The 23,348-nt window shown below is 36.3% G+C and overlaps 2 long non-coding RNA genes across 2 annotated transcripts in view; one reads left to right on the top strand and one right to left on the bottom strand.

Annotated features, from left to right (window-relative positions):
* The window catches only part of LOC105375912 (uncharacterized), a 42,502-nt gene extending 34,167 nt beyond the window's left edge, over positions 1-8,335 (bottom strand). The window contains exon 1 of the long non-coding RNA XR_929075.3: positions 8,258-8,335. This is a non-coding gene — a long non-coding RNA (uncharacterized LOC105375912). The remainder of the gene's footprint in view (positions 1-8,257) is intronic.
* Positions 240-23,092, top strand: LOC105375913 (uncharacterized). Its single transcript, XR_929077.2, has 2 exons — positions 240-279; positions 4,610-23,092. It is a non-coding gene; the product is annotated as an uncharacterized LOC105375913 (long non-coding RNA).
* The last annotated feature ends 256 nt before the right edge of the window (positions 23,093-23,348 follow it).

A 23,348-nucleotide genomic window follows, 5' to 3' on the forward strand; every position in this document is an offset into this window, starting at 1 on the left:
CCTCACGTCATTGAAGGTACCTGGTGGGAGGTAATTGAATCATGGAGGTGGTTACCTCTATGTTATTTTTGTGATAGTGAGTGAGTTCTCACAAAATCTGATTTTTTTTTTTTTTTTTTTTTTTTTTTTTTTTTTAGGTGGAGTCTCGCTCTGTTGCCCAGGCTGGAGTGCAGTGGTGCCATCTCGGCTCACTGCAATCTCCACCTCCCAGGGTTCACACCATTCTCCTGTCTCAGCCTCCCGAGAAGCCGGGACTACAAGCACCTGCCACCACACCCGGTTAATTTTTTGTATTTTTAGTAGAGACAGGGTTTCACCATGTTAGCCAGGATGGCCTCGATCTCCTGACCTCATGATCTGCCCACCTCAGCCTCCCAAAGTGTTGGGATTACAGGCATGAGCCACCGCGCCAGGTGGTTTTATAAGGGAATTTTCCCCCACTTTGCTCTGCACTTATCCTTGCTGCTGCCATGTGAAAAAGGATGTGTTTGCTTCCCCTTCTGCCATGATTGTAAGTTTCCTGAGCCCTGTGTCCCAGCTGCTCCAGCGGTGACTAAAAGAGGCCAAGGTATAGCTCAGGTCGTTGCTTCAGAGGGTGCAAGACCCAACTCTTGGGTTGGGTCTTGGCGTTGGTGTTGGTCCTGCAGAGGCACATAAGACAAGAATTGAGGTTTGGGAACTTTCGCTTAGATTTCAGAGGATGCATGGAAATGCCTGGATGTCCAGGGAGAAGTTTGGTGCAGGGGTGGAGTCCTCCTGGAGAACCCCTGCTAGGTCAGTGCAGAAGGGAAATGTGAGGTGGGAGCCACCACACAGAGTCCCCACTTGGGCACTGCCTAGTGTGGCTGTAAGAAAAGGGTCACCATTCTCCAGAACCCAGAATGGTAGATCCACAGACAGCTTGCACCATGCACCTGGAAAAGCCACAGACACTCAATGCCAGCCATGAAAAAACCCAAGAGTGGGGCTGTACCCTGCAAAGCCACAGGGGCAGAGCTGCCCAAGATTGTGGGAGCCCATCTCTTGCATCAGTCTAACCTGGATGTGAGACAGGGAGTCAAAGGAGATCATTTTGGAACTTTGCAGTTTAATGACTGCCCCGTTGAATTTCAGACTGGCATAGGTCCTGAACCCCCTTTGTTTTGGTCAGTTTCTCCCATTTGGAATGGGTGTATTTTCTCAATGCCTGTCCCCATTATATAGCTAAATTGCTTTTGATTTTACAGGCTCCTAGGGACCTGAGAAAAGGCACTTGTCTTGTCTCAGATGTGACTTTGGACTTGGACTTTTGAGTTCATGCTAGAATGAGTTAATACCTGGGAGGACTGTTGGAGGGACATGATTGTGTTTTGAATTTTGAGGACATGAGTTTTGTGAGGGGCTAGGGTGGAATGATATGGTTTGGCTATGTTGCCAGCCAAATCTCATCTTGAACTGTAGTTCCCATAATCCTCAGGTGTTATAGGAGGAACCTGGTGGGAGGTAAGTGGATCATGGGGGCGGTTACCTCCATGCTGTTCTCATAATAGTGGGTGAGTTCTCATGAGATATGATGGATTTTTAAGGTGCTTTTCTCCAACTTCGCTCTGCACTTTTCCTTGCTGTCGCAATGTAAGGAAGGATGTGTTTGCTTCCCCTTCTGCCATGATTGCAAGTTTCCTGAGGTCTCCCCAGTCATGCTAAACTGTGAGTCAATTAAACTTCTTTCCTTTATAAATTACTCAGATTTGGGTATGTACTTATTAGCAACGTGAGAATGGACTAATACAGGTTTTAGCTATAGGATGTGGGAGACATCATAAAGAATTTCTTACATTTAAAAAATCTTATTTCCCGCCATGTGTAGTAGCGACCCAGCATCCCCTTAATAATCAGAATCTATTATCCCAGACAATAGATTAACTTCCTCTTTGTATATTGATTAGGAAGGACAAGGAACCCAAAATGGGTAGGTAGTAGCCTCAACATCCATTTTGCTGCAATCATTGTTCTGTCTCCTGGTGGAAGTATTTCTCCTTTTGGAACAAAGATCTGTAGACCATCATAGGCTACAGTTGAGGAGACATAATGCAAAAATATATCTGAGAGATCATTAAGGGTAATAATGCATAGAGTTACTCCCATTTCCACTCCTTAATTCCTGGACAAATAAACCCTGGCTGTAGGGAAAACAGCACCATATAATGGATGGTGATGTAGAGCATTAACACATCCTAGAGGAAAGTGCTCCTATCCTGACTCCTGCTAGGTATTTCCATTTAGCTGAAAGTGTAACTGAGTCTTCAAAAGACTGTCCAACATTCTATAAAGTCAGCTACTTCAAGACAATTTGTAACAGGCTAGTGGATTCCATGAGCATGAGATCATTGCCACATTTAATCACTACAAAGTAAGTTCCTTGACCAGAGCTGTGTATAATACTGTGATGGTGGATAAGATATTCTCTAAGTCGACAGGTGCTAATTTTGGCAGAAATATTGTATGCAAGGAAAGCAAGTCCATGTTCAGAAGAAGTGTCTACTCTAGTAAGAACAATGTATCTTCTATGATGAAAGCAGTTCTCTGTAATCAAGCAACCATCAGGTAGTTGGCTGTTATCTTGGGGCATGGTTCTATTATGAGGACTCAGTGTTGGTCTTTGCTGCTGGCAGAGTATAGACTTAGGTCAGGAAAGCCCCAGTGAGTATAATTTCATGTTTCTGAGCCCATGCATCATCTCCATTCCTGACATCATAGCCAATTTGTTCAGAGCTCGTTAGTGGCTGGAGTGTCTGAAGAAAGAGATGACTGGCATCCAGACATTTTTTCCTATCCACTTGATTATTAAAATCATTCTCTGTTGACGTAATCCTTTGTTGAAGATTCATAAGAGATGCCAACATGTTCACCCACTTTATTCATTTTGTGAGATCTATATACATACTGCTTTCCAAGACTTCTTTGTCACCAATTTTTCCAATTATGTTTCTTCCAAGTTCCTAACCATCCATCCAAACCATTAGCCTCACCCCATTGAATAATACAGAGTCATATATCTGACCATTTCTCCTTCAATGGAAAGTGAACAATGAGGTGAACTGCTCTAAGTTCTGCCCACTGAAAGAACTTTTCCTCACCACTGTCCTTCAAAAATGTCCCAGAAAAGAGCTAGAGTGATGGAGTTTTCTACTTTTGGCTGGTGCTGCATGTTGTGCAGAACTATCTGTAAACCAGGTCTGAGTTTTCACTTTCTCAGTTAACTGATAAGAAACTCCCAATGAGGCCATTGGTGTGGGCTGAGATTGAGAAGATAATGTAGCAGGAGTAGGGCCGTGGGCATTTGTGTTACTTCCTTATGTAACTTACCATTGCCCGGAAAGCCACCTCAAGCCTCACATATACCACTTCCATTGACTGGCACAGTGCTGCTGTGCATGCCTAACTTCCATGCTTAGTAGATTAGACAGCAACCAGTTCATGATAGATAGCTCAGATCACATTATAACTTGGTGGTCCATGATAATATATTCGGTCCCTATTAAGACCTGGGACCAAGCCAAAAACTGTTTCTCAAAAATAGTATACACCTCTCCTCAAATAATGTCATTTTGTTATAATGTTGATAAGAAAAAAAAATCAATTCCCTTTCAGGCTACTGTCTGTGTGGAGTTTGCACAGTCTCCCCATGTCTGTGTGGGTTTTCTTCAGGGACTCCTGTCTTCTCTCACTTCCCAAAGTTGTGCATGTTAGGTGAAGTGGAGTGTTTAAATCATCCCCACTGGAGTGAGTGTGGGTGTGTGTGAGTGCACTCTGTGATGGATGGGGTCCTGCCCGGGTTGCACCCTGAGCTGCTGAGATAGGCTCCAGCCACTTGTGACCCTGAACTGGAATAATTGGGTAAACAATTATCTTACTTGTTTTCATTAACCTTTCTTAAATATGTGTATAGCCCATATTTATTTTAATATTTAATATTAGAAGCGTTTTCATCTTTATTTAAAAGTTGGGTGATGTTTCTGTGACCAGAAACATGCGTATTGCTTGAAGGTGCAGTTTTTGAGAATCTATAGATCAGGTCAAGTGAGGACTTACTGTACATATCTGCAGAAAATAGCAGAGTTTTACTCTAAAATCCTGAGTCTGTGTTATGATTCACTTATAAGAGGCTTCCAAAGACTCCAAAAAGCATCTCTCTCTGACACTGACATTTTAAATGTCATCAGATCTTCCGGATCATGGCTTGCTGGTGACACATGGCCCAAATGTCAGAACAGCTTGCACAGCAGGCTAGACCTGATGCAGAGCCCTTTCTTGATCTTGCTTCTACTCAAAACTAGTAGCTTTTCAGGTCTTTCAGTAAATGGGCTGGAGTAGTACACACAAAAAGAACAATGTGCTGCCTTGAAAATCTAAAGAGGCCTCCTATGCATTGTGCTTCTTTTTTGGCTGTAGGAGGACCAATCAGATACAAAAATCTTATTTTTCACCTGAGAAGGAATACTTTGACCTTCCTTTCACCATTAGACCCTGGGAATTAGTTGATACGGAAGGCCTCTCAATTTTTGCGAAATATATTTCCCACCCTCTGAAACACAAGTGTCCAGAGCAGTTGCTACTTTCTGGTTACCAGGTCCAATCAGCATAATGTCATCAATGCAATGGAACGGACTGATTTTCTGCAGAAAGGGAAATCAATCAAGGTCCCAGTGGACTAAATGATGATATAAGGCTGAAGAATGGACGCATCCTGTAAGTAGAACAGTAAAGGTGTATTTCTGGTTTTTCCAACTGAAAGAAAACTGCTTCTAATGATCTTTACTAACATATATAGCAAAACAAAAAAGTCATTTTTTTTTCAGGTGAATAGCTGTATACCAAATACCTGAGGATGTGTTAATTTGCCCAAGCGATGAAACCACCTCTGGAACAGCAGCTATAATTAGAATCACCACCTGATTAAGTTGACAATAATCCACTGTCATTCTCCAAGATCCATCTGTTTTGTGCACAGGCCAAATAGATGAATTGAATGTGGATGTGGTGGGAAGTCACTATGCTCACATGTTTTACGTCCTCCGGGATTGCAGCATTACTTTTAGTTTACTATTTTCCTAGGTAGAGGCAGTTATAGTGGCTTCCAATTATTTTTCTTTCCATAATATCCCTTATTTCACAAGTCGGGAAACCAATGTAGAGATTTTGTCACATTCTGAATGTGTCTATTCCAATAATGCTTCTGGAACTGGAGAAATAATCACAGGACTTGTTCAGGGACATGCTGAACCCACTGAGACAAATATGAACTAATGATCAATTAATCACCAAACCTTCATAAGCCTCTATTATGCCTCCACAGTGACATTTTGGGTGACCAGAAATTAGTGTCATTTTAGTCAGTGTTCAGTAATCTTCCAAAAGTCTAATTATTTCTATTTTCCAAAGCAAAAGCACACTGGTAAATAACTAGATCTCTTTAGGAAAGACCAGAAGAAAGATTAACAGTATAAACACATTTTTTTTGGCAGTGCAATGGAGTTCTTCCTCAAAGGGACTTAGCCTCCCTTTCATTTAAGGGGTTCTGGGGTGGTAAATTGTCTCAGCCTGGAAATTAATTGAGGTGTTATGTCTCTCTGTTTTGGTGATTTGAATTAGACTTCTGCTCACTAGACCTGGAACTTTTCCACCTATACACATCATTCATTAGACTGCCCATCTATTTCTTTTCTAGTGACATCATTATCAACTAGCTAATGCCGTAGGTCTTTGGGAGTTACAGTATTCTGGTAACTGCTTTGACTCTGCAGTTTATTGTGGTGACTATCTGGTTTTTGATGATCCCTGTCAAATAGCAGCAGTTTCCACTGTAATATCTGACTTGCAGAAAAGAGTAAAGAGAGAGCTCTCAAGGATGCTAGGATTCCCCCTATAAATTTATTTCTCATAATTGTGGTAAAAGGTATGTCTTCTGGACTCTCCAATTGGATGAGCAGTTCTTACATGATAAATCTATTCAAACATTTCAACCTCCCTAAGACTTTAGATGCCTTCCTCCATAGTATACCAAGGCAATCCTGACATTTCAACTTCATTTATTGTAGGCCACCTTCAGTTTCATGTTTCAACCTATGGACAAAACAAACTGTTAGAGCCCTTCCTAGACCACTGACCTTAGTGAGCCATAGTAATACATCAGACTAATCCAACTTTATATTCCTTCCACCATAATGCCACACTCTTAAGACCCATTCCCACACCTATTTCCCCAGATTTATGTGTGTATAAATTGGAAAAATCATTCTGTTCTTCTTGCAGGTCATTCATTGTACCTTACCGTTTGGGCTCTGCTGAGACTTAAGTCTAATTGTAGGTCTAGATGCAGAGAGGGGTGGGTGGAGATAGGTCCTAAGAAGAATCAGCAGTACCTTGCAAGGCAATTATAGATTCTTCAGGAAGAACAGATAACCTCCTTAGACAGGGGTGGATGGCTGCTTCTCCCAGCAAGAAAACTGTCCAAATTCAAGGGTTCAGTGTCCCCAGCTTCATTGGGATCTGTCAATATGCCCTCATTCCAATTTTCAGGATCCCATTCCTTCCCAATCATTTTAACAGAAAACACCTCGTGGGGTTGGAAATTCAATTTGTGTTGTAATTAAGCCACTCACAGGGAGATTCAGGTTTAATTTTTAGAAATCTCAGACCTGTAGGTAGAAAAGATAACGGTGACTTTTAGGGCATAAAAAACAGACTATTACATTATTTAGGTGGAACTTGAGCTGGAATTTGAAGTCCTGCACTTCTTTTATTTCTGGAACAGTGAGGAGTAACTGACCAGCTCCACGATACTCTTAGGTTTGATAAAAATATTCTAAGGTAGCAAATACATGGTGACCCACAACTTCAACTTCTACAGGTATTTGATCACAAGTGTCCAATGGTTATATTTTCCATATCTCTTTTGTCATATTATACCATGGATTTCTAATGCTCTATCACCGGAAATAGTCATTAGTGCCTTTAAATATAATCACATGAGGCAACTAAATTCTCAAACCCCAGAAACAATTCAGAAAACTCATCCATATGATTATGTTCCTTTAGAACAATGTCAAGAAGCAACATCTGTATCCATCATCATTTATCCAGGGAAACAGACCAGTAGGAGAGATATTGTAAGATTTTTTTTCAAGAAATTGGTTTATATGATTGTGGGGACTGATAAGGCTAGTCTAAAATCCATACGGCAGGCTGGAACTCTTGGTTATGGGCTGCAGATTCTGGCCACAAGTTGAATTTCTCCTGCCTCAGAGAAGCTTCAGCTTTGCTTTTAAGGCTTTCCAACTGGTGAAATGAGGCTCTGCTAAATTATCTAGGATAATGTCTCTTAAAGTCAACTGAGTATTGACTTTATTTAACTCTATAAATTACCGTCACAGTAACACCTAAATTAGTATTTATTGAATAACTTGTGACTGTAACTTACCCATGTCAACAATAAGTCCATCACAATGTCACATAAAAAACTCCTACTTTATTAGAAAATGGGATATAAGTGGCCCATGAGTTTGCAGCTTCTCCTCTGTTATATAAATTTTCCTTTTTTAGTACTTAAAAAAATCCTCCAAATCTCCATATATCAGTGTGTTTAATTTAAGAGACTGCAACATGATCAAGTTAAATATCAATAGTAAAATTACTATACCAACATTTCAATGATAACAGTTAGACATGAAATTGTTAAATATAATTTGAAAGGATTTTATATGTTATTTGGCCATTTAAATTTATTATTATATTTTACAAAGTCATTGAAAAATATTATAATTGAATATAATGTGAAGTAAAGAAGGGTGCAAAATAGATAGAATATGCTCATATTTGTGTGTAAGATAGATGCCTGAAGAAGGAACATTTAGGACATTATATCAATATCTTCTGTGTGTGAAGAGAGAGTTGCAAATCACCTTAGGACTAAATTTTGAAATTTTTATTTAATCACTTAAGTGATTTTCTTTGTTCAAGCCACTATGAAACTCATTACTCCAGACCAGGTTGAAACAGCAGCTTCTGTGGCCTGAAAAGATGGCAATACCACTTGGTGTAAGGAGCCGTCCCTGTGCGAAGAAGTTAGCGATTTACACAGGGACTAGGATTTATCTTGGGAGGAAAAGAACACCAAACTTGATCTTTCCTCTTATACAAATATTTCTGTTGAATTGAAGTGGGCTGGATCAGGTTCTTTGGTAAGAAATGATATCAATGACTCCAAAGAGGCACTCACCTTCAGAGAAGAGGTCACTGGTGCGGGTGACTGGAGCTGAACACAAGAACAGAAGTGACCCTGGCAGTGGCTGGTCCCGCAACAGCCTGTAACAGGGAACATAATCAACCACAAATTTTGTGGGTAGTTTAGGTGTTGAAAAACAATAGTGATCATTAATATTGTATATACATTACCTTTTACTAGATGTCCTACGTAGTTTACACACGAAAAAGAGGAACTAAAGGCTGTGAAATTCCAACTCAGAATATAAATCAAAAACGAGAAAGCCTTGGTGGTAACTTTGAACCAATCCCTTATCTCCTAAAGTGGCAGAGCAGATAAACTGAGGACCAATATCAAGACTGGACTGTCAAAATTGCAGTTGCAGTGCAAACGAGATACTCAATTCAGTTATGTCTCAAAGTAAGAAGAAACCACTGCTGGGGAAATAATATAATCCCAAGAAATAGGATGTAAATATTGTGGCAAATGCAACAAGGTTGAACACTTTGAATCTCCACATCTTTCTAAATTTCCCTTGTCTTCCATTTCACAACTCTACATCCATACTCAGCACAGGAAAAATATCTAATCTGTTCTTGTCAAGTTGAATTATTGGTTAGGGATTTCTGTGTTAATCTCAGATGGAAAATGTTTAATTACAAGGTCTTTCCTGTATCTAAGAGTTATTACATGACAGAACAAGTGGACCAACCTCTCTACCTCCAACAGCCTCTTTATCGCTGAGATTTTCTGTGTGCCCATGGCAAGCAGAATTCCAAGACAATCCTTGAGATTTCTACCCCATTGTGTATAATGCACTGCTTTTGAGTACGGGTGAAGCCTGTAAATATGATGCATTATCAACCTCATCATTATGTTCTATTATATGCAATAGAGACTTTAGCAGATATAATTAAAGTTCCACATTCAGTTAAGTTAATCAGATCGGAAATTATCTAATCAGAGTCTGTCCTACTCAGGTGAGGTATCAAATGGGGGTCTAGAGTTTTAAAATGCAAAGAATCAGAGAGACATTCTCCCTATGGCCTCAAACAAGAAAGCAAATAGCCATATTTTGAATTTCCGTGAAGGTGAATCATCATTAGGGTCTGAGTGTCTCAGTCCTAAAACTACAATGAACTAAATTCTGTCAACAACTTAAATAAGTTTGAAAAAAGACTTCACATTCCAAATGAGACTCCAGTCTGACTGACACCTTGATTTCAGTCTTGTAAGACTTTGACCAGAGAACCCAGCTGAAACGTGGCTGGACTTCTGAACTACTGAACTCTGAGCTAATAAATGGATGTAGCTTGTTTTGAACCATGAAGTCTGGTGGCTTATTATGTAGCAGTGTAAAACTAACTCAGTGCCTCTGACAATCTGCCCTTACTTTGTAGAATATGATACAGGGCCACCATTTGCTAATCTGTTGTGAGTTGATATAGTTACTTTTCTTCATTTTAACTGAATAGGGCTCATCTCCCTTCCTCTCTCTCTCTCTGTCTCTCTCTCTCTCTCCACCCCCCCACACACCCCACACAATTTTACTTATAAATATTAGAATTTTGTTATATATCAAATATAGTCTCCTTCACTTTATATAAGAAAAAATGGGTATCAGAATAATTACTGAGTTTATTCCAAATTACACAACTAGCCAGGGACCAAGGTAAAATTTAAGTCAGTCTTAGTTACAAGGTTGGTTCTCTTTTAACTGACAGAAATAAAAATATTCCAAAAATATTTCTAAACTTTATCAAAAACTAAGGAATTAATGGAATGTGTTTGTCATAGATAGTGTGCTGCCCAGATCCCTTGTAGAAATAAAGGGCTTGTTTTTTAAACTTCTATAAGTACTTCCCTAAGGCAGGTCTCCGCTATTAGCCTTCTACAGAAAATGTCTTTGTTGGAGACACACCCCTTGCCCAATATTTTGCCCCCTTCCTTGGGCAGCCCATACCCAATGACTCATCAAGGAAAGATATGAAGTCTGCCTTTCTCCCACAACTTGAGACAATTCTAAAGGGTCATGTCAATTTTAGAACTTCCCTAAGATCAACTGTATCCTTCATCAAGACTATAATTCTCCCTTTGTCCAATTTTGCTTCCTCTTTTTCCATGTGTTTATGCCCATAATACTCCCTGATAAACATCCTGTATGCTAATCTCCATTTCAGAGTCAGCTTCCTAGGGAAGCCAACCTGTGACAGGGAAGAGATAACCACCTCTCTGTAAAACCGATAATGTGAGATTAAATGAAATAATACATTTAAATCAAATTCACTTACAAAAAATATAATGTATAAAAGTAGGTGTTATCTTAATTTATGTATAATATTATATTCTTATAAATTATAATTCAAAGAAATAAATATGAAATTAACATTTGTATAAGGCATAAATTATGGGATGGAGTCATTTCATTGCTTGTGCTAGTGACTTTCAGATAAAGCTCCATCACCTTATCATGGCAAAGTTATCTTAGGAGAGAAGACCTAAATATAAAATCAGAGATGAAAATAGAGATATTACAACTGTTACCACAAATATTCAAAGGATCATTAGAGACTGTTATGAGAAATTGTATGTCAATAAATTGGAAAACCTAGAGTAAATTAATAAGTTCCTAGTCCCATACACCCTACCAAGATTGAAGTTCAAAACCTGAATAGACTAATAACAAGTAAATAGAAGTAGGAATAAAATGTCTTCCATCAAAGAAAAACCCAGGACCTGATGGCTTCACTGCTGAATTCTACCAAACTTTTAAATATCTAATACCATTTCTATTACAGCCATTCCAAAAAAATCAATGAAAAGGGAATTCTTCCAAACTAATTCTATGAGACCAGTATTATCCTGATACTGAAACCAGCCAGATACACAAGAAAAATGAAAACTATAGGTCAATATCTCAGATGAACATAATTGTTAAAATCCCCAACAAAATATTAGGAAGCTGAAGCCAGCAACACATTAAAAAGGTCATTCATTATGATAAAATGGGATTTATCAAAATGACACAAGGATGGATCAACATATAGAAATCAAAAACGTGATACATCACATCAACAGAATGAAAGACCAAAACCATATGATCATTTTAATCAATGTCAATTAAGCATTTGATAAAATTTCACATCACTTTATAATAAAAACTCTAAAAAAATGGGTATAAAAGGAACATACCTCAACATGATAAAAAAAAAACACATTCACCAAACCCACAGCTAGTATCATACTGAACAGGGAAAAACTGAAAACCTTTTCTCTAAGATCTTGACCATGACAATAATGTCCATTTTCACCACTGTTATTCAGCATACAGCTGGAAGTTTTAGGAGGAGCAGTTGAACAAGAGAAAGAAGTAAAGATCATTGGATAGGAAAAGGACAAATTATCCTTATTTTCAGATGATATGATCTTATATTTAGAAAAACCTAAAGAATCCAACGAAAGGTGACTAGAACTGATAAATTCACTAAAGTTGCAGAATATAAAATCAATGTTAAAGAAAACTAGCATTTCTATATGCCAGCAGTGAAACCAAGAAATTAATCTTATTTACAATAGTTACAAATAAAATAAAATGCCTAGAAATAAACTTGACTAAAGAAGTGAAAGATCACTACAAAGAAAGCTATAAAACATTAATTAAAGAAATTGCCTAGGTTTTCTTCTAGGGTTTTTATGGTTTTAGGTCTTACGTTTAAGTCTTTAATCCATCTTGAGTTAATTTTTGTATACGGGGTAAGGAAGGGGTCCAGTTTCAGTTTTCTGCATATGGCTAGCCAGTTTTCCCAACACTATTTATTAAACAGGGAATCCTTTCCCCATTGCTTGTTTTCGTCAGGTTTATCAAAGCTCAGATGGTTGTAGACGTGTGGCATTTTTCTGAGGCTTTTGTTCTGTTCCATTGGTCTATATATCTGTTTTGGTATCAGTAACCAGTTTTGGTTACTGTAGCCTTGTAGTAAAGTTTGAAGTCAGGTAGTATGATGCCTCCAGCTTTGTTCTTTTTGCATAGGATTGTCTTGGCTATATGGGCTCTTTTTTGGTTCCATATGAAATTTAAAGTAGTTTTTTCTAATTCTGTGATGAAAGTCAATGGTAGCTTGATGGGGATAGCACTGAATCTATAAATTACTTTGTGCAGTATGGCCATTTTCACGATATTGATTTTCCCCATCTATAAGCATGGAATATTTTTCCATTTGTTTGTGTCCTCTCTTATGTCCTTGAGCAGTGATTTGTAGTTTTCCTTGAAGAAGTCCTTCACATCCCTTGCAAGTTGTATTCCTAGGAATTTTATTCTCTTTGTAGGAATTGTGAATGGGAGTTCGCTCATCATTTGGCTCTCTGTTTGCCTATTGTTGGTGTATAGGAATGCTTGTGATTTTTGCACATTGATTTTGTATCCTGAGACTTTGCTGAAGTTGGTTATCAGCTTAAGGAGATTTTGGGCTGAGATGATGGGGTTTTCTAAACACACAATCATGTCATCTGCAAACAGAGACAATTTGACTTCCTCTCTTCCTATTTGAATACCCTTTATTTATTTATCTTGCCTGATTGCCCTGGCCAGAACTTAGGCAATATCATTCAGGACATAGGCATGGGCAAAGACTTCACGACTAAAACACCAAAAGCGATGGCAATAAAAGCCAAAATTGACAAATGGGATCTAATTAAACTAAAGGGATTCTGCACAGCAAAAGAAACTATCATCAGAGTGAACAGCCAACCTACACAATGGGAGAATTTTTGCAATCTATACGTATGACAAAGGGCTAATCACCAGAATGTACAAGGAACTTAAACAAATTTACAAGAAAAAAACAAACAACCTCATCAAAAAGTGGATGAAGGATATGAACAGACACTTCTCAAAAGAAGAAATTTATGCAGCCAACAAACATGTGAAAAAAAGCTCATCATCACTGGTCATTAGAGAAATGCAAATCAAACCCACAAGGAGATACTATCTCATGCCAGGTAGAATGGCAATCATTAAAAAGTAAGGAAACAACAGACGCTGGAAAGGATGTGGAGAAATAGGAATGCTTTTACACCATTGGTGGAAGTGTAAATTAGTTCAACCATTGTGGAAGACAGTGTGGTGATTCCTCAAGGATCTAGAGCCAGAAATACCATTTGGCCCAGCAATCCCATTACTGGGTATATACCCAAAGGATTATAAATCATTCTACTATAAAGACACATGCACGTGTATGTTTATTGCAGCACTAGTCACAATAGCAAAGACTTGGAACCAACCCACATGCCCATCAATGTTAAACTGGATAAAGAAAATGTGGCACATATACACCATATAATACAACGGAGCCATAAAAAAAGGATGAGTTCATGTCCTTTGCAAGGACATGGATGATCTGGAAACCATCATTCTCAGCAAACTAACACAGGAACAGAAAACCAAACACTGCATATTCTCACTCATAAGTGAGAGTTAAACAATGAGAACACATGAACCCAGGGAAAGGAACATCATTAACCAGAGCCTGTCACAGGGTAGGGGGCTAGGGGAGGGATAGCATTAGGAGAAATGCCTAATGTAGATGACGGGTTGATGGGTGCAGCCAACCACCATGGCACATGTATACTTATGTAACAAACCTGCATGTTCTGCACATGTATCCCAAAACTTAAAGTATAATAATAATAATAAAAGAAATTGAAGAGGACACAAAAACTTGAAAGATATTCCATATTCATGATTTGAAGAATCAGCATTACTAAAATATCCATAATACTCAAAGCAATCTATAGATTCAAATGAAATTCCTATCAAAATACCAATTATATTTTTCACAGATATAAAAAATAATTCTAAAATTTGTATAGAAACACAAAATACTCAGAATAGCCAAAGCTATCCCAAGCAAAATGAACAAAGCTGGAGGTATCACATTGCCTGACTTCAAATTATATTACAAAGCTATAGTAACCAAAACAGCTTGGCACTGGCATAAAAAACAGACACATAGACCAATGGAACAGAATAGAGAACCCAGAAATATATTCACACATTTACAAACAATTAAATTTACTAATAACATATATTTGGAAATGTCAGTCTCTTCAATCCAGGAAAATAGGGTATTCATACACAGAAGAATAAAACTAGACCCCATCTCTCCCCATATACAAAAATCAAATCAAAATGGTTTAAAGATTTAAATCTTAAATCTAAGACCTGAAACTATAAAACTACGAGAAGAAAACATTGAGGAAACACTCCAAGAAACTGGTCTGGGCAAATATTTCTTTAGTTAAGACCTCAAAAGCACAGACAACCAAGCAAAGATGAACAAATGTGGTCACAACAAGTTAAAAAGCATCTGCATAGCCAATAAAGCAATCAACAAAGTGAAGAGACAACCCACAGAATGGGAGAAAATATTTGCAAACTATCCATCTGACAAGAGATTAATAACCTGAATGTATAAGGAGCTCAAACAACTCAATTGGAAAAATAAATAAATAATCCAATTTAAAAATGAGAAAAAAAACTGTATAGTCATTTCTAAGAGAAGACATGCAGATGGACAACAGGTATATGAAAAAACACTCAACATCATTAATCATCAGGAAATGAAAATGAAAGCTACAATAAGATATCATCTCATCCCAGTTAAAATGGCTTTGTATTAAAAAGACAGGCAATAATGGATACTGGCAAGGATATGGGAAAAAGGGGAGTCCTCATATACTGTTGGTGAAAATGTAAATTAGTGTAGCCACTATGAGGAACAATGGCAGTTCCTCAAAAAAATGAAAAATAGTACTATTATATGATCCAGTAATACCACTGCTTGGTATACATCTAATAGAAAGAACATCACCATGTGAAAAGACATCTGCTTTCCCATGTTTATTGCAGCATTATTCACAGTAGCTAAGGTATGGAAACAACTTAGGTATCCATGAATGGATGAACAGATAAAGAAAATGTGGTATATACACAAGGGAATATTATTCAGTCATAAAAGAATGAAATTCTGTCATTTGCAGCAACATGGATGAAACTGGAAGACATTATATTAAGTGAAATGAGCCAGACTCAGAAAGACAAGTATCACATGTTCTCATTCATCTGTGGGAGGTAAAAAAGAGAAAAATTGATCTCATGGAGGTAGAGAGTAGAATGGTGGTTACCAGAGGTTGAGAAGTGTAGTGGGGTGGGGGAGATTAAGAGGGATGGTTAGTGGGTACAAAACTATACTTAGATAGAATAAATAATATCTAGTGTTTAGTGGCACAATAAGGAGGCTATAGTTAACAATAATTTATTGTGTATTTCAAAATAACTTAAGTGGAATTGTAATGTTCCTAATACACAGAAATGGTAAATGTTTGAGGTAATAGAAATCCCAATTACCCTGATTTGATCATTACACACATTGTATGCTTTTATCAAAACATCACATGTACACTATAAATATGTACAACTATTATGTATCCATAATACTTACAAATTTAAAAATATTTAAAAATTCACAAAACTGAAATAAACATACTTATTGGGAAAACATCTTCAATAACTCATTCAAAAATTCATATTGAGAGGCTATTACATGGCAAGAATTATGCTAATCTACTATTCTCATAAAAAATATAATGTTCCAGTATGAGAAACAGATAGGGCAACCATAATCCTGCTATAAGCCTGGCTTACATGTGTGGTCTCAGTATCCCATATGGCGTAGGATTTTTTTCTTGAGTTTTCATATTTTAAAGAAATATTTTTACTAATGTTTCTTTTGACTGGAATGGTTTTGATAGAATTTCACTTTTTACTTTCAGCACCATCTTAATTAGTAATGTGTGAGATGCATGCAATGAACAGAGTTTTCAGATTAACATGTGGTTGAATCTCAGAAATAATCAGCAGTAAATTGCTTCCCTTTCTCCCATCCTTTTCTGATGCATTGAAAAGAATAGTGTTCATCATACTCTCTAATAAACCAACTTAATATGGCATACCCACACAGTGGAATATTATTTAACAATATAAACAAAGTACTGTTACATGGTGTGAAATGTATGAACCTTGAAAATATTATGCAAAATAAAATAAGCCAGTCACAAAAGGTGACATATTATGTAATTAGATTTATATGAAATGTCCATAATAGGAAACTATAAGTAGAAATAGATCAGGGATTTCCTAGAGCTGGGATGGGGGAAGGGATGGAGAATGACTTGTAATGAATATGGGTTTTTTGGGATGATAACAACATTATAAAATTACAATAGTGATGTGATGGTTGCATAACTCTGAGTATGCTACAAACCATTGAATTATACATTTTAAATGGGATACTTTTATGATATGCAAATTATATCTCAATAATGCTGTTATAAAAACTAATTCTTTAATATGAGTGACCTGGAGATAACCAACTTCTTGTGGATCCTGGTGGTGGTGGGAGAAATATTGGAAGCTATTGCTTCTAGGTCATTTGGTGAACCAACTAATTTGTACCATGGTTGTGTATGAGATGTGTGAGAAATAGAGACTGAATAGTCTTACCATGGAATATATAGAAAGTAGTTCATTATTTACTATATTTAATTCAACCACTATCCTTTCCAAAACGATGTCTTTTTCCTTGAAAAATGCATATTTAATGAAAATTTAAAGATACTTCGATTTCTCAAGAAAGTTGATGAATGTGTAAATTACACAAAGTATTTGTTGACATTTACTATAACAATTGAGTCTGTAGTGATATCATTGAACCTGTGGAAACAAGGTGATGTATATCATCCCCCAAATCACTAGCACCTACAGTTATTTAGAAAGATTATGCACAAGATGATAATTTAACATGTGCAACTTCAGATGGTGTATTTACATATTTCTTTCTTTTCTTTTTTTTTTTTGAGATGAAGTCTCGCTCTGTCACCCAGGCTGTAGTGTAGTGGGGTGACCTTGGCTTACTGCAACCTCCACCTCCTAGGTTCCAGCGATTCTCCCACCTCAGCCTCCTGAGTACCTGAGATTATAGGCACCTGCCACCATGCCCAGCTAATTTTTGTATTTTTAGTAGAGACTGTGTTTCACCATATTGGCCAGGCTGGTCTTGAACTCCTGACCTCAAGCGATCTGCCCACCTTGGCCTCCCAAAGTGCTGGGATTACAGGCATGAGCCACAGTGCCTGGCCTACGTATTTCTTTTTAAAGACTGACTTTTCATTTAGATTAAATGATTGCTCTTCTAAAGTAATTTACTCTTTGTTGGTTTTAAGAAATCTTTTGCATGTATAAGGTATAAAACAACAACTGTTTATATGTTACTTCCATTAGCCGATGAACTAGCGGTTAAATGATGCTTCAAATAGAAAATAAGTTAATTCCACTAATAGATTGTGTTTTCATTAAAGTCATAAACATGAAATAACACTTTACAAAGTTCATTTTGTTGAGTATCTTGCATTACTGTGAATTATATTGTAAAGTAGTTTAAAGTTTAACATTAAAGATAAAATTATTATTTTTGCTGTTATGGTATGAATAAAAAAATTTGATTAACTTTTTTATCATGTTTCAGTAAACAAAGCATGCAGAATGGAAACAATAATCTTACTAAGTTAAAAAACTTTTTTGAACTTTTCTGAATAGAAATGTTCTTGGAATTCGTCGTGCACATGATTGTTCATAATTACTAATTACAAATATTACTAATTATTATTTCTATTATATATAATATGTATAATATTATTAATTATTCATAATTACTAATTGAAATAGAGACGCTAGTTGTTGGGGTAACAAAAGTAGTGCATTTTTGAGATGAAGCTGGCTTTCAGTACAAACATATTCTAAATTATGCTGGTGGCTATGCAGTTTTTCTCTGTGCTGGTCATCAACAATTAGATTTAGATGTGTTTGAGCACTTGAAGAAGTACTATGAAACTGAACTTAAATAAAAGTATTTAGCAATTGTGATGCCAAAAAGCTTTAGCTTGTGAAGCTTTATCAATTTCCAATTCTTAAAAGCAAAGGTTGTAAAGAGGAGGACATTGAAACTGATCCTTGTAGAAATGGAGCCAATTAAATAATAAAGGCACAAACTATGTAAAACATTTAATTTTTAAATTATATTATTGGACTCCAGAATATTTAAACTTGTGAGATGTAGTCTGATAAATCTCCTATTTTTAATTGGATAAACTTGCAATATATACCAAAAAGGATAAAATTTACAAAAAAAAAATTTGCATGATCTCCATAGTCATAAATTGAGACATCTGCAATGACTTTTGTCTGATAAAAAAATCTACCAAAGACAAGTACTCTGAATGGAAGCAAAAACAAGAGCTCTTTTAAGATATTTGAACTAAATTGGACCCTTATCTTGCACTATGGATAAAAATCATCTAAAAATGGACAAAATACCTAAGTGTAAGACCTGAAGCCATAGAACTCATGGAACATAGGGGAAAAACTCCACAACATTGGTCTTGGCAATAATTTTTTTGGGATGCCATACCAAAAGCTCAGGCTACAAAAGAAAAAATAAATCACATCACACACTGGGCCCTGTCATGGGGTTGGGGGAGGGGTAGGGATAGCATTAGGAGATATACCTAATGTAAATGACGAGTTAATGGGTGCAGCACACCAACATGGCACATGTATACATATGTAACAAACCTGCACATTGTGCACATGTACCCTAGAACTTAAAGTATAATAAAAAAAAGAAAAAATAAACCAATGGGAATACATCACACTAAAAACCTTCTACACAGCAAAGAAAACAATTTAAAAATGAAAATGCAGGCTACAGACTGGAAGAAAATTTTTGCAAATCATACATCTGATAATGGCTAATATCCAAAATTTATTTTAAAAACCCACATAATTCAATAGCAGAAAAACAACCCAATTAAAACATGGACAAATGATATGAGCAGACCTTCAAAGAAAACATAAAAATGGACACTAGGTATATGAAAAGGAGCTCAACATCACTAATCATAATGGAAATGCAAATTAAAACCACTATGAGATATCACCTTACACCAGTAAGGAAGGCTATTATCAAATGGATAAGATGAAAATGTTGGCAAAGGTGTGAAGAAAAGGTAACCGCAGTGCACTGTTGATGGGAATATAGACTGATCTAGCCATTATGGGAAGAAATATGTAGGGTCTTAGAGATACTAAAAATATAACTGCCATATGACTCAGAAATCCTTCTTCTGAATATATACCAATATACCAAAAGGAGATTATCACCACCTTGTAAAGATTGGCATTCCCATGTTCATTGCAGCATTATTTGCAGCAGTCAAGATATGGAAAGAACCTAAATGCCCATTGATGGAGGTATAAAGAAAATGTGGTATATATACACAATGAAATATTACACAGCCTTAAAAAGGAGATCCTACCATTTGTCAAAACATGCATGAACCAGGAGGACCCTATGCTAAGTGAAATAAGCAACACAGAGAAAAAAATATTGCATGATTTCAATTATATATTAAATATAAAATAATAAAAGAGCTCAAATACACAGAGATAAAGAAGGAAACAGTGGTTACCATTGGTGGGAGAGGGAGAGAGGAAATGAGGAAGATGTAGGTCAAAAGATGTACAATAGCAGATAGGTAGGATGAACAAATCTAAAGATCTAATGTACAACATGAAGACTAAATAAAATTGAATTGTGTTAAGGATATTTGTTAAGTAGATTTTATCTGCTGTTGTCACATCAAAAAACAAGTTATGTGAGATGATAGATATACTAATCTGCTTCACTCTAGAACCATTATATTTCCTACGATGTATCTATATGTACTCCATAACATTATGTTGTAAACCTCAAATATATACAATAAAATACATTTAAAAAAAAAAATAGGCCAGGCGCGGTGGCTCATGCCTGTAATCCCAGCACTTTGGGAGGCCGAGGCGGGCGGATCACGAGGCCAGGAGATCGAGACCACGGTTAAACCCTGTCTCAACTCAAAAAAAAAAAAATACAAAAAATTAGCCGGGCGCATTGGCGGCGCCTGTAGTCCCAGCTACTCGGGAGGCTGAGACAGGAGAATGGCGTGAACCCAGGAGGCGACACTTTCAGTGAGCTGAGATCGCACCACTGCACTCCAGCCTGGGTGACAGAGCGAGACACTGCCTCAAAAAAAAAAAAAAAAAAAAAAAAAAAAAAAACAACAACAACAGTGGGACTAAAATATGTATACATTTTAATATTAAAAGAAAAAGCTGTGATACATAATGATTATACATATGTATGGGGAACATTGTTCGTTTCAATACATGGAGAGATTGTGTAATCATCAAATCAGAGTCATTAGAATTTCATCACCTCAAATATTTATCAGTTTTTTGTGGTGAGGACATGCAAATTATTTTCCTCTAGCTTTTTTTGAAATATACAATATATTTCCATTATCTGAGAATATGCTGTATTTAGCAAAAAATAATTTGCGATTACTAGGTACTTCAGTGCATGTAGAGAGGGTATTTTCTCAGTTAAAAGTAATGTATTCTATGGAGACCAGTCAATTGAAGGTTTCAACAATTTCAAATTTATTAGCATAAAGCACAGCTTTGAAAACAAATGCAGGCAATTTTATGAAAAAATGGAAAACAATAAAACTGTATTTCAAAAATACATTGTCCACAAATAGAATAATAATGACCAATATTACTTGTACAACTAAGATGGTGTTTAAATTAAATGAATATATAACATAAATAATCATACTACTTGTTATTTAATGTGCTGATAATCAATACAAATATTCTTTTGCTTTTATGAATAGAAATAGATATTGCTTTCTTAAAGAAACATTTTATTTCAAAAATATTTTATAACACTTCCATAGGCCCAAACCCCACTTGTTAGTAAATACTTATTTTAAACTTGTATAAGATTATAGTTATTTTAATACTCTTTTTAATCTCAAAATAGACTTGTTTGGCCAATAAAGTATATGAACCCCTTTATTACAGAAAAATAAGCAGACAGTCATACTACAGCATGATTTTAGAGTAGGGAAAATACAGGATTCTTTTGCAAAAGAATAAAAAGCTGTCTAATCTACTCCCTGGTGGAGAGGGTGTCATGGAATATTTATTAGAGGAAGTTGATGACATTTATACCTAAAAGATAGGATAAGTTATCCAACTGAGGAAACAGAGAAGACTGTTTCAGGGAGGGTGAACAGCAAAAAAAACTAGCTCAGGGGTAAAGTTAGGCCCTCCCCATGAAATAAGCAGGGTCTTTGGAGTTGCATAAAATAATTTGGAATTAAACCAAAGATAAGGGGGAAATCAATACAGTGCTTAAATAAAGTAGTGTCCTGAGAAGGATTTTCTGAAGGGCATTTAGAAGATTGATTCTAAAACACACATAAGTTTCTTAATTCTTTTATTCTGACCTGATGGATTTTCTAGTCCAGCCAGTTGTACCCCTGACCTTGTGCTCTCTTTTTCTGGTATGGCTTTCCTAGGCTCAAAAATCCCAAAGTGCTACCCTCTAAAATTATGGATAAAAGGCTCTATTAATATTTATGTCTCCTTGTGGCAGGCCACAGATATGAATTAATTACTGCATCTGCACAGATGTGGCCTGATTACGCAAGGCGGAACTAAGCTAAACAGCCAGCATGATAAACCCAAGACTGGCAAGGTAGCAGGAGAATTTTGAGATATATTCAAGTTGAATGCTTTTATCGGTTCTAAGTTGTTAGTTCTTGGAGGAGAGTATTGTTCCCTAACAAAGCCTAACACAGTGTGCAGTACACAACAAGTACTCACTAAATATTTGTGAGATGAATAAAACCAAGAATCTTGAATATGTTTTAGGCCTATCACTATAAAAAAATTTTAATGTCTTATTGTAATTGTTCTATTTTGTTTTGACAGGTGATGAAAATAATGCTTCCCTTAGTTGAAATTCTTAGGAAAATGGCTCCATAAATATGTATGTAGGATGCTATTACTCACTCATTATTGACAGTTGTATCAAGTGTGATATAAAACACAATTTTCAGTGACAATGGAATAATTACAGTCTTGTAGTCTTGGAATAGCCCCTGATCACTACTGTTGCTGATTCTGTCATTATATTTTGTGTCACCTGGTTCCCAGTGGACTGTCAACACTCTTTACATCCTGGAATCTGAAATCAATTTTGTTGAGTTAACAAAGCTACATCATTACATGTATCAACTGGGGGATCTCAGATAAATTCATATGGGTCTGATTATCCTTAAATAAACCATATAAACAGTAGATTGTTATAACTGACAAGGGATCGTGTTCTGTCTAGTCAGAGAACTTAAGTTAGGGAGGCATGCTGTACAAAGTATAAAAATGTTTCAAAGGATAGAATTGTTAAATTTCTGTTGTTTTAAGCCACCCATTGTGTAGTACTCTGTTATAGTAGCCCAAGAAAACCAATACACTGTATAATGGAACATTATTTAGCCATAAAAAATGAATTAAGGGCTGATACATGCTACAATGCAGACAGACTTTAAGAAAACATAATGTTAAGTACAAGAAACCAGACACACAAGACTATTTATTATGTGGTTCCACTTATATGAGACGTCTAAAACAGAAAAATCTATAGAGATAAGCAAATTAGCACATGTCAAGGGCTGGGGTGAAATGTAGAGTGACTACTAATGAGTACACAATTTTTTTTGAGATGATGAAAATGTTCTAAAATTGTCGTGATAGTTGCATAACTCTGTCATTATACCAAAAAAATCATTGAATTGTATAATTTAAAAAGTATGTGAATTATATCTCAATAAAATATTTTAAAAACAGAATTATTTAACATAGTTGTGGTTGTATTAGTGAACAACAAGCTATCATTGAAAGTCAGCTTCATGAAATTTCCTAAGTGATATTTTGAAATACTAGGTTATTCACCCATACATTTCCTTAAATCAAAGGAAATCCCTGCACCTGGAGTAAGACCACCCAACTACCAGCAGGAAAAGAGTATTCAAAGACTCACTTGGAGTAATAATTATCTAGTAGGAGTCAGGTGGGACTCCTAGAAATTTGTATGTGCTCCTTGGA

The sequence above is a fragment of the Homo sapiens genome, chromosome 8, assembly GCF_000001405.40.
Source record: "Homo sapiens chromosome 8, GRCh38.p14 Primary Assembly".
Lineage (NCBI taxonomy): Eukaryota > Metazoa > Chordata > Mammalia > Primates > Hominidae > Homo > Homo sapiens.